Source organism: Homo sapiens, chromosome 1 (genome assembly GCF_000001405.40).
Source record: "Homo sapiens chromosome 1, GRCh38.p14 Primary Assembly".
NCBI lineage: Eukaryota > Metazoa > Chordata > Mammalia > Primates > Hominidae > Homo > Homo sapiens.
Genome location: NC_000001.11, coordinates 171,068,478 through 171,086,959, shown reverse-complemented (window position 1 = coordinate 171,086,959; position 18,482 = coordinate 171,068,478). Strand labels below are relative to the sequence as shown.

Sequence of the window (18,482 nt, the reverse complement as noted above, 5' to 3'; positions counted from 1 at the left end):
CCTGGGCTCAAGAGATCCTCCTGCTTCTGCCTCCCAAGTAGCTGGCACTGCAGGTGAGTGCCACCATGCCTGGCAAATTTTCTTTTCTTTTTTTGTAGAGTAGAGATGGGGGCCTTGCTATGTTGCCCAGGGTGGTCTCAAACTCCTGGGCTCAGTGATCCTCCAGCTGTAGCCTCCCAAAGTGCTAATATTACAGGCTTGAGCACTATGGCAAGTCAGCCTGGGCAGGGCAATTTTTCATTGTGTGAGATCATCCTTAAGATTGCAGGGTATTTAGCTTACCTAGTATCTAAGTCAATAAATGCCAGTGAAAACTACTAGGCATAGAAAAAGAAAAGACTACCCCTATATATTTCCAGATGCCACTATGGGGAAGTATTTCTGCCATCAAGACCCACTTATAGATCAACACACCTATTTTGTTTTTAGACCTAAAAATGTGAAAGAGGTTAATTAACTAATTCAACTTGTAGTTGTAGCTGACTAGTTACAAGTCAGACACACGTGCACTGTCCAGCATGCTGAGTTGCGTGGCATATTAAATAGCCAAAATAGAAAATATGTAAAATGAAGGGCAGCTGGTTGGAACTTATAACTAAGGAGAATGCACATGATGCCTTTCATTGGCACATTAAGCTGCATTCATATACACTTTTCATTTTTTAATCTAGTAAATGAGTGTCTATTATATTCCAGATAATGTTCTAAGTATTAGTGACAGATGTTCTCTGTAACTTATTCCAGTGATCTCCTTCGTTGCCAGTTTTCCAGTTCCACTCCTAAGTGTCTGACAACAGTGGTATATATTTAAAATTTAGGACCCCCTCAGCAAGTTATTTATTTATTTATTTATGAGATGGAGTTTCGCTCTTGTTGCCCAGGCTGGAATGCAGTGGTACTATCTCTGCTCACTGCAACCTCCACCTCCTGGGTTTAACAGGTGATACACCTGAGTTATTCTTCCATTTCACTACCTCTCCCGACTCCAGAATACCATCAAGAGGAGGTTACACATCATTTATTGGACCATAAGTAACACAGAAGCCACTTAGACACTACAATTAAAAAATGAGAAATAAGGACAGTAGTTTGAGTTTCATGCCAGAGAATCTGATCATTTCATTCTTAGAGTCCACATACTGCACCTGAGACTGATAGGCCACCGAGGAACACACAGGAAGGCAAGAGAAGCTGCAAAACAGGCACCCTATTGACTGATGTTAGCATGATATTCATGTCTGCATTAAAGTTTATGAAAATGTTACATATTACAATAAAAAATGTTATAGTGATGAATAGTATAGCTTTTATAAATAGATTAGTCAAGTTAATTTGAAGATTAGCATATATTTGTTTTTTTATTAACCAGAAATATTTCCTTTATTAAAATGTGGTAGAATTACTTCACTAAGATCCTACATGATTTAGTACATTCAGTAACACTTTATAACAAAAGGTTATCTTCAAAATGGTGGGCTCTTACCCAAGAATTACAAGCACTGCACAAATTACTTTAATTGCTTTTAGAAGCCATCTCTTGTAGGGAAGTTGTAGGAGACTACATCTATGAGGTCAGCCAACAGTAGCTGACTGAATGTCTCCTAATGAATCTCTACTTCCAAATTTTTCTCAAGAGCCCTCTTTTGGTAGTTTCTTAGTTTTCTCTTTAATTAAAATGATAATTATTCTCCTTTTTTTGAAACAAAATGAGCATTTCTTTTTTATACATGATATGTTCAGGTAAATAATCAGACCTTTTGAAGAATCACACACACATTTCCTTGATCGTAGTAGCTTTGCAGAATGCTGAAATCACTCACAGTCCTGCAGGCAACTTCCTATTCTCCCTCAAAGAACACATAAGTAATGATGAAACATGGAACTTGGGTCATAGGATCATATGGGACCAAATTGCTCAACAGGTTTGTCTTTATCAGGGTTTCCCCTAAGGTACCAGGGGACCAGTACATCCCGAGAACAAAAAGAAGTCCTGTTAATATGAATAGGAAGCTTGGAATTAGTAACTTGCCTTGAATTATATCCTCCCTCCTAAGAGTCATTAATGGAGGAGACAGAAGATGCTGAGTCTTGACTGCCCACATCAGGCATTTGCTTCACAACCATCCCCTGCACTGAGGTGTCACTGCTTATCTCCTCTCTCTTTCCTTGGCTAGTTCTGTTTCCTGTAAGCTACTTGGACTTCTGTTTATTATAATATATTCTTGTTGCATTGCCCAGACATAAATGAGTGCCTTCCCACCAGGTTTCAGGAGTCCAACATGTTCTTGAAGAGCTGTCATTCTATGTTCTGCTGTTGCAAAATGGGGAATAACAGCAATGGAGAGTCAGGCATACCAAACCCACTGTGGACTGGTACTGCCAATGCATCACAAACAAAAGCCTGGAATTGTCTCACTCTACAAATGTCCACAAGGTTTTGACTCTGATCACAACCAATCACATCTAACTCCTTATTGATGCCAAGGTGCTTTCCATTACCACATCCAGTATCAGCCACTATTAAGCCACTTGGCAAAGCCTTCAAAAACTCAATGATGTGTGGCCAAGCTGTATATCTCATGCTGCTGAAGTGCCCAGCAATCTATTAATAAACTTGATGGATGTACTCTTGCTCTAGTTGTCAGGCTTCTTTATCACTCTCTGGAAAGGAGGGAGGAGTCTCTTTCCTCTGGCTATCACAAGCCAAAGGGTAACCCATGGGCCCAAAGGTATCTAGATTCTCCTGTCATCACCAGCCAACTCAAACAAGGCAAAATAACTGGCACTGTGATACCATCTGGGTACTTAAAATCCATGACAGTCATGCCCAGGTTCATATTGATTTATGGTCAATTGTTCAGGTTTATGTTTAATGTAACCCTCCCTCAACCATTTCTCCAAAAAGCTATCACAAACATCAAGAAGACCCCTAGGCAAATGCTTATCTTTATCTACATTGTTTTTCTCACAGTGGAACTCATAACCAAAATGCTTTACTCTTCTGTGTTTTAAGCATTTTTGAAAATTTTGATGGTCTGTATCTTTTGTTTGATCAACACTTTCCAAAAGAATTTTCTCATCCTCAGTAGAAATTATTTCTTCTACTACTATGAGGACTAGTGGTAAGGCTTGAGGCCCCAACTCCTTCCATTGTGCTTTTTCCACAAAATTCAAATACAGAATCATCTTTTGTCCTAAATCATCCACTATTTCTTTCCCATTGAGAGTAACATAGGCTCTCTTAGATTCTTCTGTAGTTTTGTATCTTTCAAATGAGTAGGGCTTGTAAGGTGGCATTAAGAGAGCATCCACCAGTCCACATTTCTCTAAAACCAGTAGCAGTTGGTTTCTACTCACACCATTACCTAAACCAACACTGGCAACAACAAGCCTCTCCTCTTCAGCTCAGGCCGGATTCAGATTCTCACCCTGCAAGTGCTTTGTTCTTCGCTACCCTCTCCACTCTAGTGCCAGACAGCCGTCATGGATACTTGCACACCACCTCTCCTGGGCTCGGCCATGTTGGAGAAAAGCAGCATATATTTGTTTATAGGAGACCTAGTATATTTGTAAGCTAGTTTTGTTGGCTTGACCTCTGAGGTGCTGGAAGAGATTCAAATGTTCTTTGATCTTTTCGCCAGAGAACAGCAGCAAAAAACTTGTTCAAGCACATAACTTAGTATTTTCTCTTGTGATGAAAATTAAAGTTGTTATATAATCTCTATTATATAGTAAAATGATTTTTTTCTCAGGAATTACATCAACTCAAAGAAGTCTCTGTTTACTTTGACATCTGAACTTTCACTTTATCCGCTAGTTATAATTCCTTGGTTATCATTATCATTACATAAATTTTTCTTTCTGAAAATGGATGATAGTTCTTACAGAGTGTAGGAGTCATGTCTTGTAGTCTAACTTGGATTTTCCTCAGCACGATGCCCTATGCATACATAGTTGATCACAAAATTATTTACTGAATGGTCAGAAGTTTTAAAAATGAGCCCTATTTTAGAATAGGAAGCCTAGTACAGAGGAGAAGACTATGATTTTTAATAGTTTCTCTACAGTTAAGTCCACTTAAATTCATAAAACATTGACAAATACTGTTTTACTGCTTTTCATTGACCTTTACCCTATTGGTAACATTAACCAGTATATCTTTGCTAGGGATTATGACCAGATCTGGAAAAAAAAAGATAACAAAACTATTTTCTTTTCAAGCAGAGACCTCATATTCCTGGCAAATAAATCGACCTTGACAATAAAACACAGGCATTAAACTATTGGATGAATGAATAAGGAGTAGAAAAAATTTATGTGTAACCTTCACAATGAAACTTGCAATTACCAGAAAATAATCTTGTTGGTCCTTTTAGTGGGCACCAAACCAATGAATTATTCATAAAATTCATACATGAACAGAACATCCAGTTTAAAACCTACCTAATGCCAAAGTTGACAACTTCCTCAATACTAAGAGCCAGGAATAAGACTAAGGTATGCTTGTGGGTAACACGATGGGACTTAACACGTGGGCAACGGATAAGGCAGGAGAGAAAATGAAGACAGAGAAAAGTCAAAGGAAAATAATTTAGCATCAGGCAGACCTAATTTGAAACTCAACCTCCAGTGTGTATCAGCTGCATAAACTTGAGAAAGTTATTTCCTTTCTTAAATTTGCTTTTTAAAAAAATCTGTAAAATAGGCATACTGCAAAAGGTGGTCACAGGAATAAATTAGCTGATGAATATGAAACAGCAAGGTTCTACTTGGCAGAGAGTATTTTTGCACACAGGCTCATTTAGTGGCAAAGCACGATCTCCCTGGAAGAAAGCACAGCTGGTAAGAAAAATATTGGCACAAAAATATACACTTCTGTTTCGGAGAAGCTTTTGTAGGTTAAAGCAGTATGTCTCGCAGCTTTTAGCAGAGGTAAGCACAGCAGCTCTAGAAAATAAAAGATGAATTACTTAAAGTGGACTTTGTTCGTCACTTAAACTGAAGCTAAACCAAATCTGTATTGCCCTGAAACATGCTTGAGAGCAATGGTTCTTAAATAGCGAACGGCAAGCTGACGTGAATGGATTACAAATCAAAATGAAACAGATTACCAGGCCTCATCCTGAGCCTACTGGGTCAAAAATGAAGGGTGAAGCCTAGAAAGGAGTCACTTCCCCTGAAACACTCTCCCCATCTACCACCACTCAAAGAAAGCAAACAACTTCCCTCACCATGAGAATTGCTGAGTTTACAAATGAAGAGAGCCCAGTGTGCAAACTAGACCAAATTATACTAGATTTGGTACCCTTGATCACATGGGCTAGGAGTTCAGACTACACTGGTCAATTCCTCAACAAGGAGTAACTGGACATTTATATCAGCATCCTGCTTCATGTTTTTTACAGCAATGCTACTTATATTTATGATTAACTTAGCTATAGTGAAGGCCATCTGGTTTTTATTCCAGAGTGTGTGTTTGAGATACTCTTAAAAACCTGTGTGACTTGCATGGAGTTTAGAATTTAAAAGTTGCTTCTGCCACCTACTGGATGTTTGACCTTAGGTAAATTATTTAATCTTTCTGAGCTTCAATTTTCTGTTTCATAAAATGAAGATATTAATAGGATTGTGTTATAGTAGTAAATTCCTACATTAAATGAATCCTTTCTATTACACTCAGGATCCAGAAATCTCAAATAGATAAAACTCAGGGAAACAACATCATTTATATAATGCTGATTAACGAAGCTTGTTTCCATCTAGAAATGCAATAATCTATAAAGCCACTTTGTACAGAACTTGTCATAAAATAGGTTCTCAGAAATGCCAGTTTTTTTTCTCTCTCTCCCTAACTTATGGCCACTTTTTATATACTACCTTGCTTGTTGTTTTGCATTGCATTATTATGATCTCTTGTGTTATTACTTAATTTTCTATGCATGTCTTGTTTTTTCAATTGCCTTTTAAACTCTTTGAAGAAAGCGAATACATCTTACATTCATGGTACTATTCCTAATGCCAAGCATGGAGCATTCCTAGTGCCAATCACAAAAAAAGTGCTCAATAAAAATTTCAATTGATTTAGGGTAGAAATACTAAAAGATTGATGAAGAGAAGAGATGGGAGTTTGTGGTGAGCAGAGTTAATATATGAGATACAGAGTAGCACTAATGCCAGGGATGTTTAGTCTCTCCCCACAGTTGGGTTTTGGCTTCTGTGACATCCCATCTTCATTACTCAAACTTTGTTTATATAATGCTTTGAATATATATATATATATTTTGAATGTGTATTTGAAAAGAATTTATATAATGAAAATATTTTTAAGTGATACATATTTGAAGCTATAAGTGAGCTACAGAGATTAGACCTAGGGTGTGTAGACTGGCAGATACCTCTCAATATCCCCCAGCAATTGAGTGCCATAAAAGTATATAAGGGAGCTGAATCAAATACCTTATTTCAGAAATAGAGGGAGACCATGACTCTGATAAGAATTCGTTTATGAAACTGGATTGTAAAGAATAAGTAGACTTATGTCTAAGAATTTTAATTTTTGAAATGTCTTTTTGTTTTAGTCAGACTACCACTACAGATAGCTGAAAAGTTAAAAAAAAAAATCAGATAAGTATACATAATGCTTGGTTAGTATTTCCATTTTCTGGCCTTCTCTGGTTCTCACATCTCTGGTCCTAACTCATTTCTGGGATATCGAAATAAAACTTCTCTCCAACCATAATTGTTGACTTTCTAACTTATAAGAATAAATGGTAGACCTGATCCAGATATTCCATTGGGAGTTTAGAGTCTAGAACTGTGCTACTCTTTATTATTTAACAATGTGCCAGTTAAAGATATCACCCCAATGAAAAAGAATAGTTATAATAAATTTCAAATTAGAGACATATTAATATAGTTGACTGAATACTAGAAGTTAGAGTTGAAAGACTTAACTCTCCCCACTAACTATTTTGCTAATCATGAACAAGTCACTTGGAATCCCTAGACTTCAGGTTCCTCATCAATTTCAATGTGCCTCAGGCTATTGTTGTAAGAATAAAATAAGATATCACACGTAAGGTATTTAAAATGGAAAGGCACTAGGGACAGTGTGGTGGTATTAGCCTGAGGAATCTGCATGTGGGGTCCTGGGATTGCTCTGTGACAGGTGTGGAAGAGCCATTTGAGATATTTTTTCTGGGTTTTTAATACTCTTTGACAGGGCTGTAGCCTTGAAAATAAACACTGAATATGTACAAGTTGAAGAGAAATGAATAGAAAGAACTTTCAGGATGAAAAAGAATCAATAAAAAATGTGAACATCTAAGGGATTTTTTTTTATTATTATACTTTAAGTTTTAGGGTACATGTGCACAATGTGCAGGTTAGTTACATATGTATACATATGCCATGCTGGTGCGCTGCACCCACTAACTCGTCATCTAGCATTAGGTATATCTCCCAATGCTATCCCTCCCCCCTCCCCCCACCCCACAACAGTCCCCAGAGTGTGATGTTCCCCTTCCTGTGTCCATGTGTTCTCATTGTTCAATTCCCACCTATGAGTGAGAATATGCGGTGTTTGGTTTTTTGTTCTTGCGATAGTTTACTGAGAATGATGATTTTCAATTTCATCCATGTCCCTACAAAGGACATGAACTCATCATTTTTTATGGCTGCATAGTATTCCATGGTGTATATGTGCCACATTTTCTTAATCCAGTCTATCATTGTTGGACATTTGGGTTGGTTCCAAGTCTTTGCTATTGCGAATAGTGCTGCAATAAACATACGTGTGCATGTGTCTTTATAGCAGCATGATTTATAGTCCTTTGGGTATATACCCAGTAATGGGATGGCTGGGTCAAATGGTATTTCTAGTTCTAGATCCCTGAGGAATCGCCACACTGACTTCCACAATGGTTGAACTAGTTTACAGTCCCACCAACAGTGTAAAAGTGTTCCTATTTCTCCACATCCTCTCCAGCACCTGTTGTTTCCTGACTTTTTAATGACTGCCATTCTAACTGGTATGAGATGATATCTCATTGTGGTTTTGATTTGCATTTCTCTGATGGCCAGTGATGGTGAGCATTTTTTCATGTGTTTTTTGGCTGCATAAATGTCTTCTTTTGAGAACTGTCTGCTCATGTCCTTCACCCACTTTTTGATGGGGTTGTTTGTTTTTTTCTTGTAAATTTGTTTGAGTTCATTGTAGATTCTAGATATTAGCCCTTTGTCAGATGAGTAGGTTGCGAAAATTTTCTCCCATTTTATGGGTTGCCTGTTCACTCTGATGGTAGTTTCTTTTGCTGTGCAGAAGCTCTTTAGTTTAATTAGATCCCATTTGTCAATTTTGGCTTTGGTTGCCATTGCTTTTGGTGTTTTGGACATGAAATCCTTGCCTGTGCCTATGTCCTGAATGGTAATGCCTAGGTTTTCTTCTAGGGTTTGTATGGTTTTAGGTCTAATGTTTAAGTCTTTAATCCATCTTGAATTAATTTTTGTAAAAGGTGTAAGGAAGGGATCCAGTTTCAGCTTTCTACATATGGCTAGCCAGTTTTCCCAGCACCATTTATTAAATAGGGAATCCTTTCCCCATTGCTTGTTTTTCTCAGGTTTGTCAAAGATCAGATAGTTGTAGATATGTGGCGTTATTTCTGGGGGCTCTGTTCTGTTCCATTGATCTATATGTCTGTTTTGGTACCAGTACCATGCTGTTTTGGTTACTGTAGCCTTGTAGTATAGTTTGAAGTCAGGTAGCATGATGCCTCCAGCTTTGTTCTTTTGGCTTAGGATTGACTTGGCGATGCGGGCTCTTTTTTGGTATTGACATTGACCTCAGAAAGCGTGCCAGATTTTTCATAGGTTAGTGATACATAGATCTGCAGTAACGTATGATTACTGTTTAAAAACCAATGTCTCTTTTTGGTTGTGAAGATTTTTGCATTAAAAATACATATAAGATATTGATAAAACCCCACATATGTAATCTAAAAACTCCTCCACGTTTGCAGCTGAACTTCTGAGTTAAAAAAATTTCTAATGAAATGGTTCAGTTAAATTATTTCATGTCTACATCCTTAAGCTGCTGTCTATACTGCAGATAAAATGTGATTCACATGTGATCACTACTGAGAAAAATTGAGTACAAGGAACTATTGAATATATTGAAATATTTTTATATGTTTAAGAAAAGTTAGGAACTAGATAAAGAGGTGAAAAAGAAAGGGCCTTGAAGAATGTGCCAGGAAGGCCTTGAATCTTCATCCAAGCTTTGCACAATTGATACGTAGTCTAACAGGCTTGGACCTTGGAACTAAAAATGATTCTTCTGGGGCAGCCACCCAGTAGACATCTGTTTCAAGTGCATATGATGCATAACTCATGCCCCTCCCCCGACCCCCTGCCATCCCACATTGCTCAACTCCTTAAGATAAGCTTTAGTTTTTTAATTTCACTTGTAACTTTTATAAGAACTTCCGATAGCCTCTTAGGAAAGAAGAAACCTACATATTTTAATAAAGCTTGATGGCATATAATTTTATACTAAAATTTTATAAAGCAAAATTAATAAATACAAGTGTATTAGTCTGTTTTCATGTTGCTGATAAAGACATACCTGAAACTGGGCAATTTACAAAAGAAAGACATTTAATGGACTTATACGTGGCTGAGGAAGCCTAATCATGACACTAGGCAAAAAGAGAGCTTGTGCAGGGAAACTCCCCCTTATAGAACCATCAGATCTCATGAGATTTATTCACTATAATGAGGACAGCATGGGAAAGTCCTGCCCTCATGATTCAATTACCTCCCACTGGGTCCCTCCCACAACATGTGGGAATTCAAGATGAGATTTGGGTGGGGACACAGCAAAACCATATCAATCAGACTTTGAGTTAAAATAACACAATATTTTATGTAATTTTTATGCTTGACTATGTACCAGAAAGAATTACTTTGCTAGCTTCTTCTTTCTCCTCATTTCCTGCTGCCTCTGCAGTACCCATCCCCAATATAAATAGAACACATGAATTTTGGAATCAAATAGATCTGCAGTCTGATAGAATAGGTAGTAAGAAAGGGAGTAGAGGCAAATATGGGTGGGCTGGGTTCAAAGAAAGAGGCATGGTGGAGTTGAGGAATTTCCTAGATGATGGCTTCTATTTTTGTCTATAATGTAGGGAGCAAAGTCATCTGCTGAGAATGAGTGGGCAAGTCGTCAAGTAGTAGATTTCAGGAGTGTTAAATAAAGGCAGGAACTACCTATAAGGCTTGCCTGGGGTATCAAGGTCTGATTGGGGTTGAGGAACACAGATTTCTAATAGACCAGGACTTCTTCATGGGCAATAGCAGCATTCTGCATGCATGTGTAATGTTTCTCAGGGAGCAGTGTAATCTAGGAGCAGAGAAGGAAGTAAAGTAGGTGAATTCATCTAAGGTTAGAGTTTTCCTAGATAGGTTCAAAGGAAGGGGGATGGTGGGGTAGCAGCTTTTTTTCTGAGGGTGGCAGCTGAAGTGAAAGACAAGAGTCCTAAGCCATGCAAGAAGGCAATGAAGATTTGACAACAGGGTTTAAAGGTCTGAATCTTCGCAGTAAAGTGAAAGATGAGATGTGGTAGGAATGAAGGTGTCATGAGCTGAACTGTGCTCCCCACCAAACTCCTACGTTGAAGTCTTAACCCGTAGTACTGCAAAAGATGACTGTATTTGGAGATAGGGTCTTTAAAGGGGGAACTAAGATTAAATGAGTTCATTAGGGTGGGTTCTAATTTGGTCTTACAGTGTCCTAATAAGAAGAGATTAACACACAGACACAGAGGAAAGATCGTGAGAGGACACAGAGAAGTTGGCTATCTATAAGCTAAGGAGAGAGGCCTCAGAAGAAACCAGATCTGGGGCCAGGCGCGGTGGCTCACACCTGAAATCCCAGCACTTTGGGAGGCTGAGGCGGGCGGATAACCTGAGGTCAGGAGTTTGAGACCAGTCTGGCCAACATGGTGAAACCCCGGGCACGGTGGAGGGCACCTGTAGTCCCAGCTACTTGGGAGGCTGAGGCAGGAGAATTGCTTGAACCCAGGAGACAGAGGTTGCAGTGAGCTGATACGGTGCCAATGCACTCCAGCCTGGGTGACAGAGTGAGCAACTCTGTCTCAAAAGAAAAAAAAAAAAAAAGAAACCAGATCTGCCAGCAAATTGATCTTAGATGTTTAACCTTCAGAATTATGAGAAAATAAATTTCTGTCATTTAAGTAGGATTGCTTGAATTTAAGCTATCAGTAGTGGAGTAATTCTACATGGTCCAGGGTGTGGCTACGGGAGTGGAGGCTGAAATGGTAAGGATGGGAAAGTCACTAGATGCAAAGACAGTAAAGCATGCAATATAAAGACAAATAATTTAAAACCAATTTTATAGTGTTATAAAAAACAAATTTAACAGTTTTGGTGGCAATTGCGAGGTCAGTTTACAAGGTACTCTGTACATATCTTTTAGAACAAAAACTATCATGTGAAATAATAAATGTGAAAGTGTCTTTTAATTTCAAGCCGTAAAATAAAATCTCTGAAGCCTGAGGTGCATAAATATAGGCCCGTATAAGCCTATTAAGAGAAAAAACGTTCTCTGAAACATCTGATTTATTTGCCCTACAAAACATTATCTTCCTGTGACTTTTCCTTCCCTATATTTTGATGTGGCAATTAAATGCTGTGGGCAGTTAAATTATAGGATACAGATAGAATGCTTAGCTCTTTGGAAGAGCTCAATAAAAGTTAACTACTATGTACAAATTAGACATAGAAACCTACCATATCTGGGGAAGGGAGTAGGGAAACTTGGGAACTGCAGAGCTGGGCAGGTGTCTGGTACTTTCTAATTGTGGCTAAACAAATTAAAACATTGCAAAGAATTTTTAGAAGTCAACGTTAATGCTTTGACAGAAAAATATTTTAAAAATATTTCTTCATTTGGTAAAGAGTTAATCCATGTTTGAAATACCTGTAAGTTCCTCTGAATGCATGGGTTCCGTTTACTGGAAACTTTTCTGGAGTAATTAGAGAATATTTCATGGTCAAGGTTACTCTATGAATTGTTTTAGTAAATATATCTGTAAAGTGATGGACATTTTATTATCAAGAAATGAACTAAAATACTCATGATTTATGTCATTAATTTGTGTGGCTGTCAGGCCCTATTGATTTATATCCTCTGTATCTTGTTGAAGCACACTGTGAAACCCCTTCCCTAGCTTGTTTACAGCAATGAACGTCTTGCTTATTTAAAGCCACTGCCAGCCCAGACAACTTCTATTGCTTAGAATTATTCTTCCAGTCACCCATTACCCTCTATTAAAAAGGCTTTTTTCCTCTCTTTTTAGAAAACTACTCTTGACTACAATTATAACTCCCTGATGGGAGGCCTTCCTCTATAACTGACGTCCTGAAGGAAAATTTTACCTTGAGACATTTTTCATATACATAAGTGGTAAAAGAAGAGAATAAAAGGAAGGGAAAAAAGACAGTAACAGAAATCAAGCTGTAAATGGGACCCCAAAATACCAGGAACTAAATTATCTGACATTGTGGAATAACTTAGTAACTCTTGGCCTCATAAATATATTTCTAAGTAGCAATTCAATTCAAACCAATATATTAATATTATAGAACTGTGGTTTCTACATTCTTTGACTAAGAACTTCCTAAAAGAGTCCCTCCCTCCCTCCCTCCCTTCTCACCTTCCTTCCTTCCTTTTTTTTCTTTCCTTTCCTCCCTTTCTTTTTTCTTTTTCTTTTCTTTTCTTTTTCTTTCTTTCTTTCCCACAACGTTTTACTCTGTTGCCCAGGCTGGAGTGCAGTGGTGAAATCATGGCTCACTGCAGTCTCAACCACCACGGGCTTAGGTGATCCTCCCACCTCAGCTTCCTGAGTAGATGGGACCACAGGCACATGCCACCATGCTTGGCTAATTTTTGTATTTTTTGTAGAGAAGGAGTTTCACCATGTTTCCCAGGTTGGTCTTGAACTGGGCTCAAGCGATCCACCTGCCTCAGCCTCCCAGAGGGCTGGGATTACAGGTGTGAGCCACAGTGCCTGGCCTAAAAGGAATATTTCTTACCATTCTTTTTCCAAAGTGTAGATTCACAGTTTGACTAGATTGATTTCGATGTCACTGTAAGGTGGTAGAGGAAGAGGTACAGAGAAGGTCCCATTTGTAAACCAAAAAGTATCTGAGACAGGACTCAATCAATTTAGAATTTTATTTTGCCAAGGTTAAGGACCATGGCCAATGATACAGCCTCAGGAGGTCCTGAGAACATGGTGTATACATTTTAGGGAGACAGGAATTAAAGGCAAAGACATAAATCAATACATGTAAGGTATACACTGGTTTGGCCTGGAAAGGTGGGACATCTTGAATGGGTGGGAGAGGTGGGCTTCCAGGTCATAGGTGGATTCAGAGCTGTTCTGATTGGCAATTGGGTGGAAGAGTTAAGCTCCACATGAAGACTTGAACTCAGCATAAAGAAATGCTTGAGTTTAGATAAAGGGTTTGTGGTAACCAAGGTTCTTGTCATAGAGATGAAGCCTCCAAGTAGCAAGCTTCAGAGGGAATAGATGGCGAATGTCTCTTATCAGAACGTAAAAGGTGTCAGACTCTCAAAAAAAAAAAAAAAAAAAACAGTAAGGGAAAGAGACTCTCTACAGAATGCAAATCTTCCCCACAAGAGACAGATTTTCAGGGCCATTTCAGAATTTGTCAAATAAATATATTTTGGAGTAGAATACTTATTTTCCTTCAGAGCCTGTTATCTGTCATGTATATCAGAGTCAGGTTGGAATTGTTTTATTGCTATGGAGTCTGTTTTGTCAGTCTTGAGTTTGCTAGTTAGTTGCATCTAAACTCCAAAGAGAGGAGTGAACAATGAGGCATGTCTGACCTTCCACTTTCCATCATGGCTTGAACAAGTCTTTAAGGTTTCTTCGGGGTTCCCTTGGCCAAGAGGGGGTCCATTAAGACAACTGGGGGACTTGGAATTCTATTTTTTGTTTACACATTGAGGAGGAATCAGAAGAGTCTACTGAAAACAGAGCATACGACAAAATTGCTAATTTTATCACAACTCTCCAATGAGAATATCGGTAATTTAATTATTTGAGGATTCAATTTTTGCAACTTACTCTGTCCTTATGGGTGTTGGAGGACAGAGTGGGATGTTGATTTTTGTAATAGATATAATATTGTATTTTGAAATGTTCAACATGCCAAGGAAATGCAAAGTCCCACCTGTCATTCCTGTTGTCACAGTCTTGATAGAAGCCCTCATGCAACCTTGCTTTCAATATCATAGTGGCAGTGTAGCTGGCTTTCCTGACTACACTCTCCTTTCTTCTGCTGGCAACCTCCAGCAGATAGCCATCAAACCAATTTTTCCTGATAGCCTACTTTTATTAAGTCAAGAGACTACTCCAAATCACTACTTCACACTCAACATATGTAATATAAATTCCTGTGCATAACATGCTTTTATTATTTTTATTTATTTATTTATTTTTTGAGACGGAATCTCGCTCAGTCTCCCAGGCTGGAGTGCAGTGGCCTGATCTGGGCTCACTGCAAGCTCCGCCTCCCGGGTTGACGCCATTCTCCTGCCTCAGCCTCCCAAGTAGCTGGGACTACAGGCGCCTGCCACTACACCCGGCTAATTTTTTGTATTTTTAGTAGAGATGGGGTTTCACCATGTTAGCCAGGATGGTCTCGATCTCCTGACCTTGTGATCCACCTGTCTCGGCCTCCCAAAGTGCTGGGATTACAGGCGTGAGACACAGCACCCGGTCATAACATGCTTTTTAAATTTTGAAAATGTTTATATAGTTCCAGGGTTTTGTGCAAAGTGCTGAAGATTCAGTGACAAATATGACATAGCTCTTATTACAACAGAGCTCGTCGATTAGTGATGAGAAATCAGATGACTTCTTATTTCCTTTTCAATGACAGTGACTTGTTTAAAAGCATTCATTGAATCAGCATATATTTGAGTGCCAGATGACAGGCATCGTTCTTGAATTTAGGATTACAGTGGTGGACAAAATTGAATGCCCGTTTCATAGTGCTTACTTCTGGCTTGGATTACTCATAAAAGTTGCTTATAATGTAATAAAAAGCAAAAAGTCAAAATAAGTATTATATCCTATATCCTTCATTTTTACTCCCCAAAGGCAATCACTATTAATGGCTTTTGTGTATATTTCCAAAGTTTTCTGTCTATGCCAATATATATGTTTATTTTATTTTTGAGCAAAGGGCTCAAATTGTAACTCTACTTAATTTATTTAATCAAATCATATCTTAACATCTCTGAAATAGCGACATCTTATAATCAATGCTATATTATAGTTTTAATTGGCAGAATGTTTTCTTCTCTTTTTGTTACATAAAATGAGGGTGCGTCTTAATGTTGAGCCGATGAAATATAGTATTTTAATAGTAAAGGATTTGGCTATGAGTACAGAAAACCAACAGCATACCAGTTAGAGATGGTATGGTGTTTTCAGCCTAATTACGTTAGGCTGAAAGTAACAGAAATGAAAACCAACAGCTTAAAAAAGGAGTGTAATTTTTCTCACATAACAAGAAATTCTGGTGTTAGGAATGCAGGGCTAATGCATGGCTTTAATGTGCCAATGGGGCTCAAGCTCCTTTGTCTTTATCCTCCTCAGGGTAGTCAGAAGATGGTTCCTTCTCTTTCTGATGGTGCTACTACATCTAGGCAGGAAGAAAAAATGCTATCTACCTTTAACGCATTCTATATATAATGGCGGAGAAGAAACAGGATAAATGCAGGAAAAACTACCATTCAGAAAAGAGGAAGACGGGAAGACGGTGATCACCGGTTCATAGATATCGTCAAATCCTGCCAGGCAGGGATGGTAACTCTGGGCCCCAGCAGCAGAGTGAATATTTAGTTGGGCAACCTGGCAACCCCTGGTTCTGTTTTCTGGAAGAACCACCCTTGTCCATTGTCCTCTGTGGACCTGAATCTTTCCTTTTCAAGTTGGGGAGTATGAAGGAGGTACTTCTAGGAGTTTGTTCAGCTGTTAAATTTTACTTCTTTTGGTGTGAATTTGGGTTCTCTGAGATTATTTTAGCAATTGCCAACTGTTGTAGGTCAGGTATGGCGTTTCTTTGACCAATGTATGGAATCAAAATTTAGAATGCTTGCTATCTGTTTGCTTCCAGTCATATCTACACATAAGAAACAACAGCCAGGGATCTTGTAAAGACACATTCCATACCTGAAAATCCCTATTTACCGACATACTAGTTTTTGCGCTAGCTTTTTAGAAGGCTCATGTTGTAAAGAAATTTGAAAAAATGACAGTACTCTTAATCCCATCTGTCATAGCAGCTTCCTGCTTTTTCTCCTTAAAAGACTGAACTTTATTCTAATGTGTTTATATTAAATATTGGATGCTAAATAATCCATCCCTTTACCATAAGATATGATGATAAAGGTATACATGGAAGAGCATTTGAAAGCATTTTTAACTTTAAAATATTTAATTGATAAAGACTGCATATATTCAAGATGTATATCATTATGATTTGATATATAGATATGTTGTATAATAATGATCAGAATCAAAGTAATGTATTTTTTTTTTTTTTGAGATGGAGTCTTGCTCTGTCGCCCAGTCTGGAGTGCAGTGGCGTGATCTCGGCTCACTGCAAGCTCTGCCTCCTGGGTTCACGCCATTCTCCTGCCTCAGCCTCCCGAGTAGCTGGGACTACAGGCGCCTGCCACCACGCCTGGCTAATTTTTTGTATTTTTAGTAGAGACGTGGTTTCACTGTGTTAGCTAGGTTGGTCTTGATCTCCTGACCTTGTGATCTGCCCGCCTCAGCCTCCCAAAGTGCTGGGATTACAGGTGTGAGCCACTGCGCCCGGCCGGTAATTTATGTTTTTGTATTACAGTAGCACTGGTTTTATGTCCTAATCTTCTACTTGGAATGCCTTCTGCTTGATGTATAGAAGCGGTTGGTTTTCTTAACTCTATAAAGCTATGAGCTATGTACTGTGGCACATAGTATTCTCTCAAAATGGGTGCAACATTACCTCCAGTCCTTATACAATAGTCTGATGTGGATTGGACATTTTGCCTGAGAAGCTGTTCTCAAGGATACCAAATCCTTTCATTGTGTGATGCCATCATCTTTAACAAATGGCCTCTGATACAGAAGGGGAGGAGTGAGAGCATCTAGTACTTATCCACCTAGACATAGAAGTGACACTTATCACTCTCACTCACATTTGACTGCCCAGAATGAGTCAGTTGGCCAACCTAACTGCAAGGCAGTCTGGTAAATCTCCTCTTCTAATGTATCAGTAAAGAATAAAGAATTGCTAAGGACTTAGCCAATATCTATCACAAATTTTATTGTTAAAATTATTACAGTAATTCAACCTACTATAGAATCATCATTTTCAGCACCATAAAAAAAATGGATCAGAATACCAGCTTGTCAGTCCAATGGAAGAGTTTTGCCATTGTATAGTGCGCTAGATCATGACAAGACACATCTGACTAAGGAATAGCATGCTACCCAGAGGTCACAGAATTGAAGCTGAGAGCAGTAATTGGATGAGACTGTTATCTTCCTCAAACATTATGGTGGTGTGGAAGAGCTATGTTCTTCATTCTCTTACAAAAAGGATTACTTAAAACTATATAATTCTATATAATTATCCCATTAAAACTTCACAATAATCCTGTGCATGCTCTGGGGGAATATTAACTCCATATCATAGAAAAATAAACAAAATTAATTACCTAAGGCTTCCAGCTAGTAAGCAGAGAAGCTAGAACTCAAACCCATGTCTCCACAATTCAAGTCTAGGTTTTTTAAATATTTTCTCAAGAGGGAACCGTCATAGTACTGGCCTCTGCATCAAGCCAATGTTTCTCATGTATTATGAAAATGTTGTATTGGGCTATCAGGACACTGCCCTGCCAGAATATCCATTCTCTATCCATGTGCCTTCCTATTCTACTCAAGTCATTATTGCAAGGTGCCACCTCAGGACCATGGACATGCTTCAGTATTTATCAACTTGGCATCAGTGGTTATTTTGATGTTGCAAAAAAAAAACAAAATAAACTGGAAACTAAACAAATTGATGCAAGTCTATTAAACTTTTAGTTTTTACTTTGTTCGATGCTTGGAATTTCGAATGTGTCAGTCTAAACAGCAATCCTCTTTAGAATTTAGATATCTTCTTTGAATGGGGAACAGCCTCTCTCCCTCCTCTGCCTCACCTATTACAGAGTATCTTATTAGAATCATGCATCTGGAAATGCTTTATATTCTTATTTCCTAGTACAATGTCTCTTTACCCTAACTAAACTAATGTTTGTTTGTGAACAAATAAATGATTGGTTCCTACACCCAATGAATTATAAATTTATGACGTTTTTCCCCACA

At 38.3% G+C, this 18,482-nt stretch overlaps 1 pseudogene; it reads right to left on the bottom strand.

The window, feature by feature from the left end:
* LOC646804 (alkylated DNA repair protein alkB homolog 8-like) lies at nt 1,558–3,395 on the bottom strand (annotated as a pseudogene).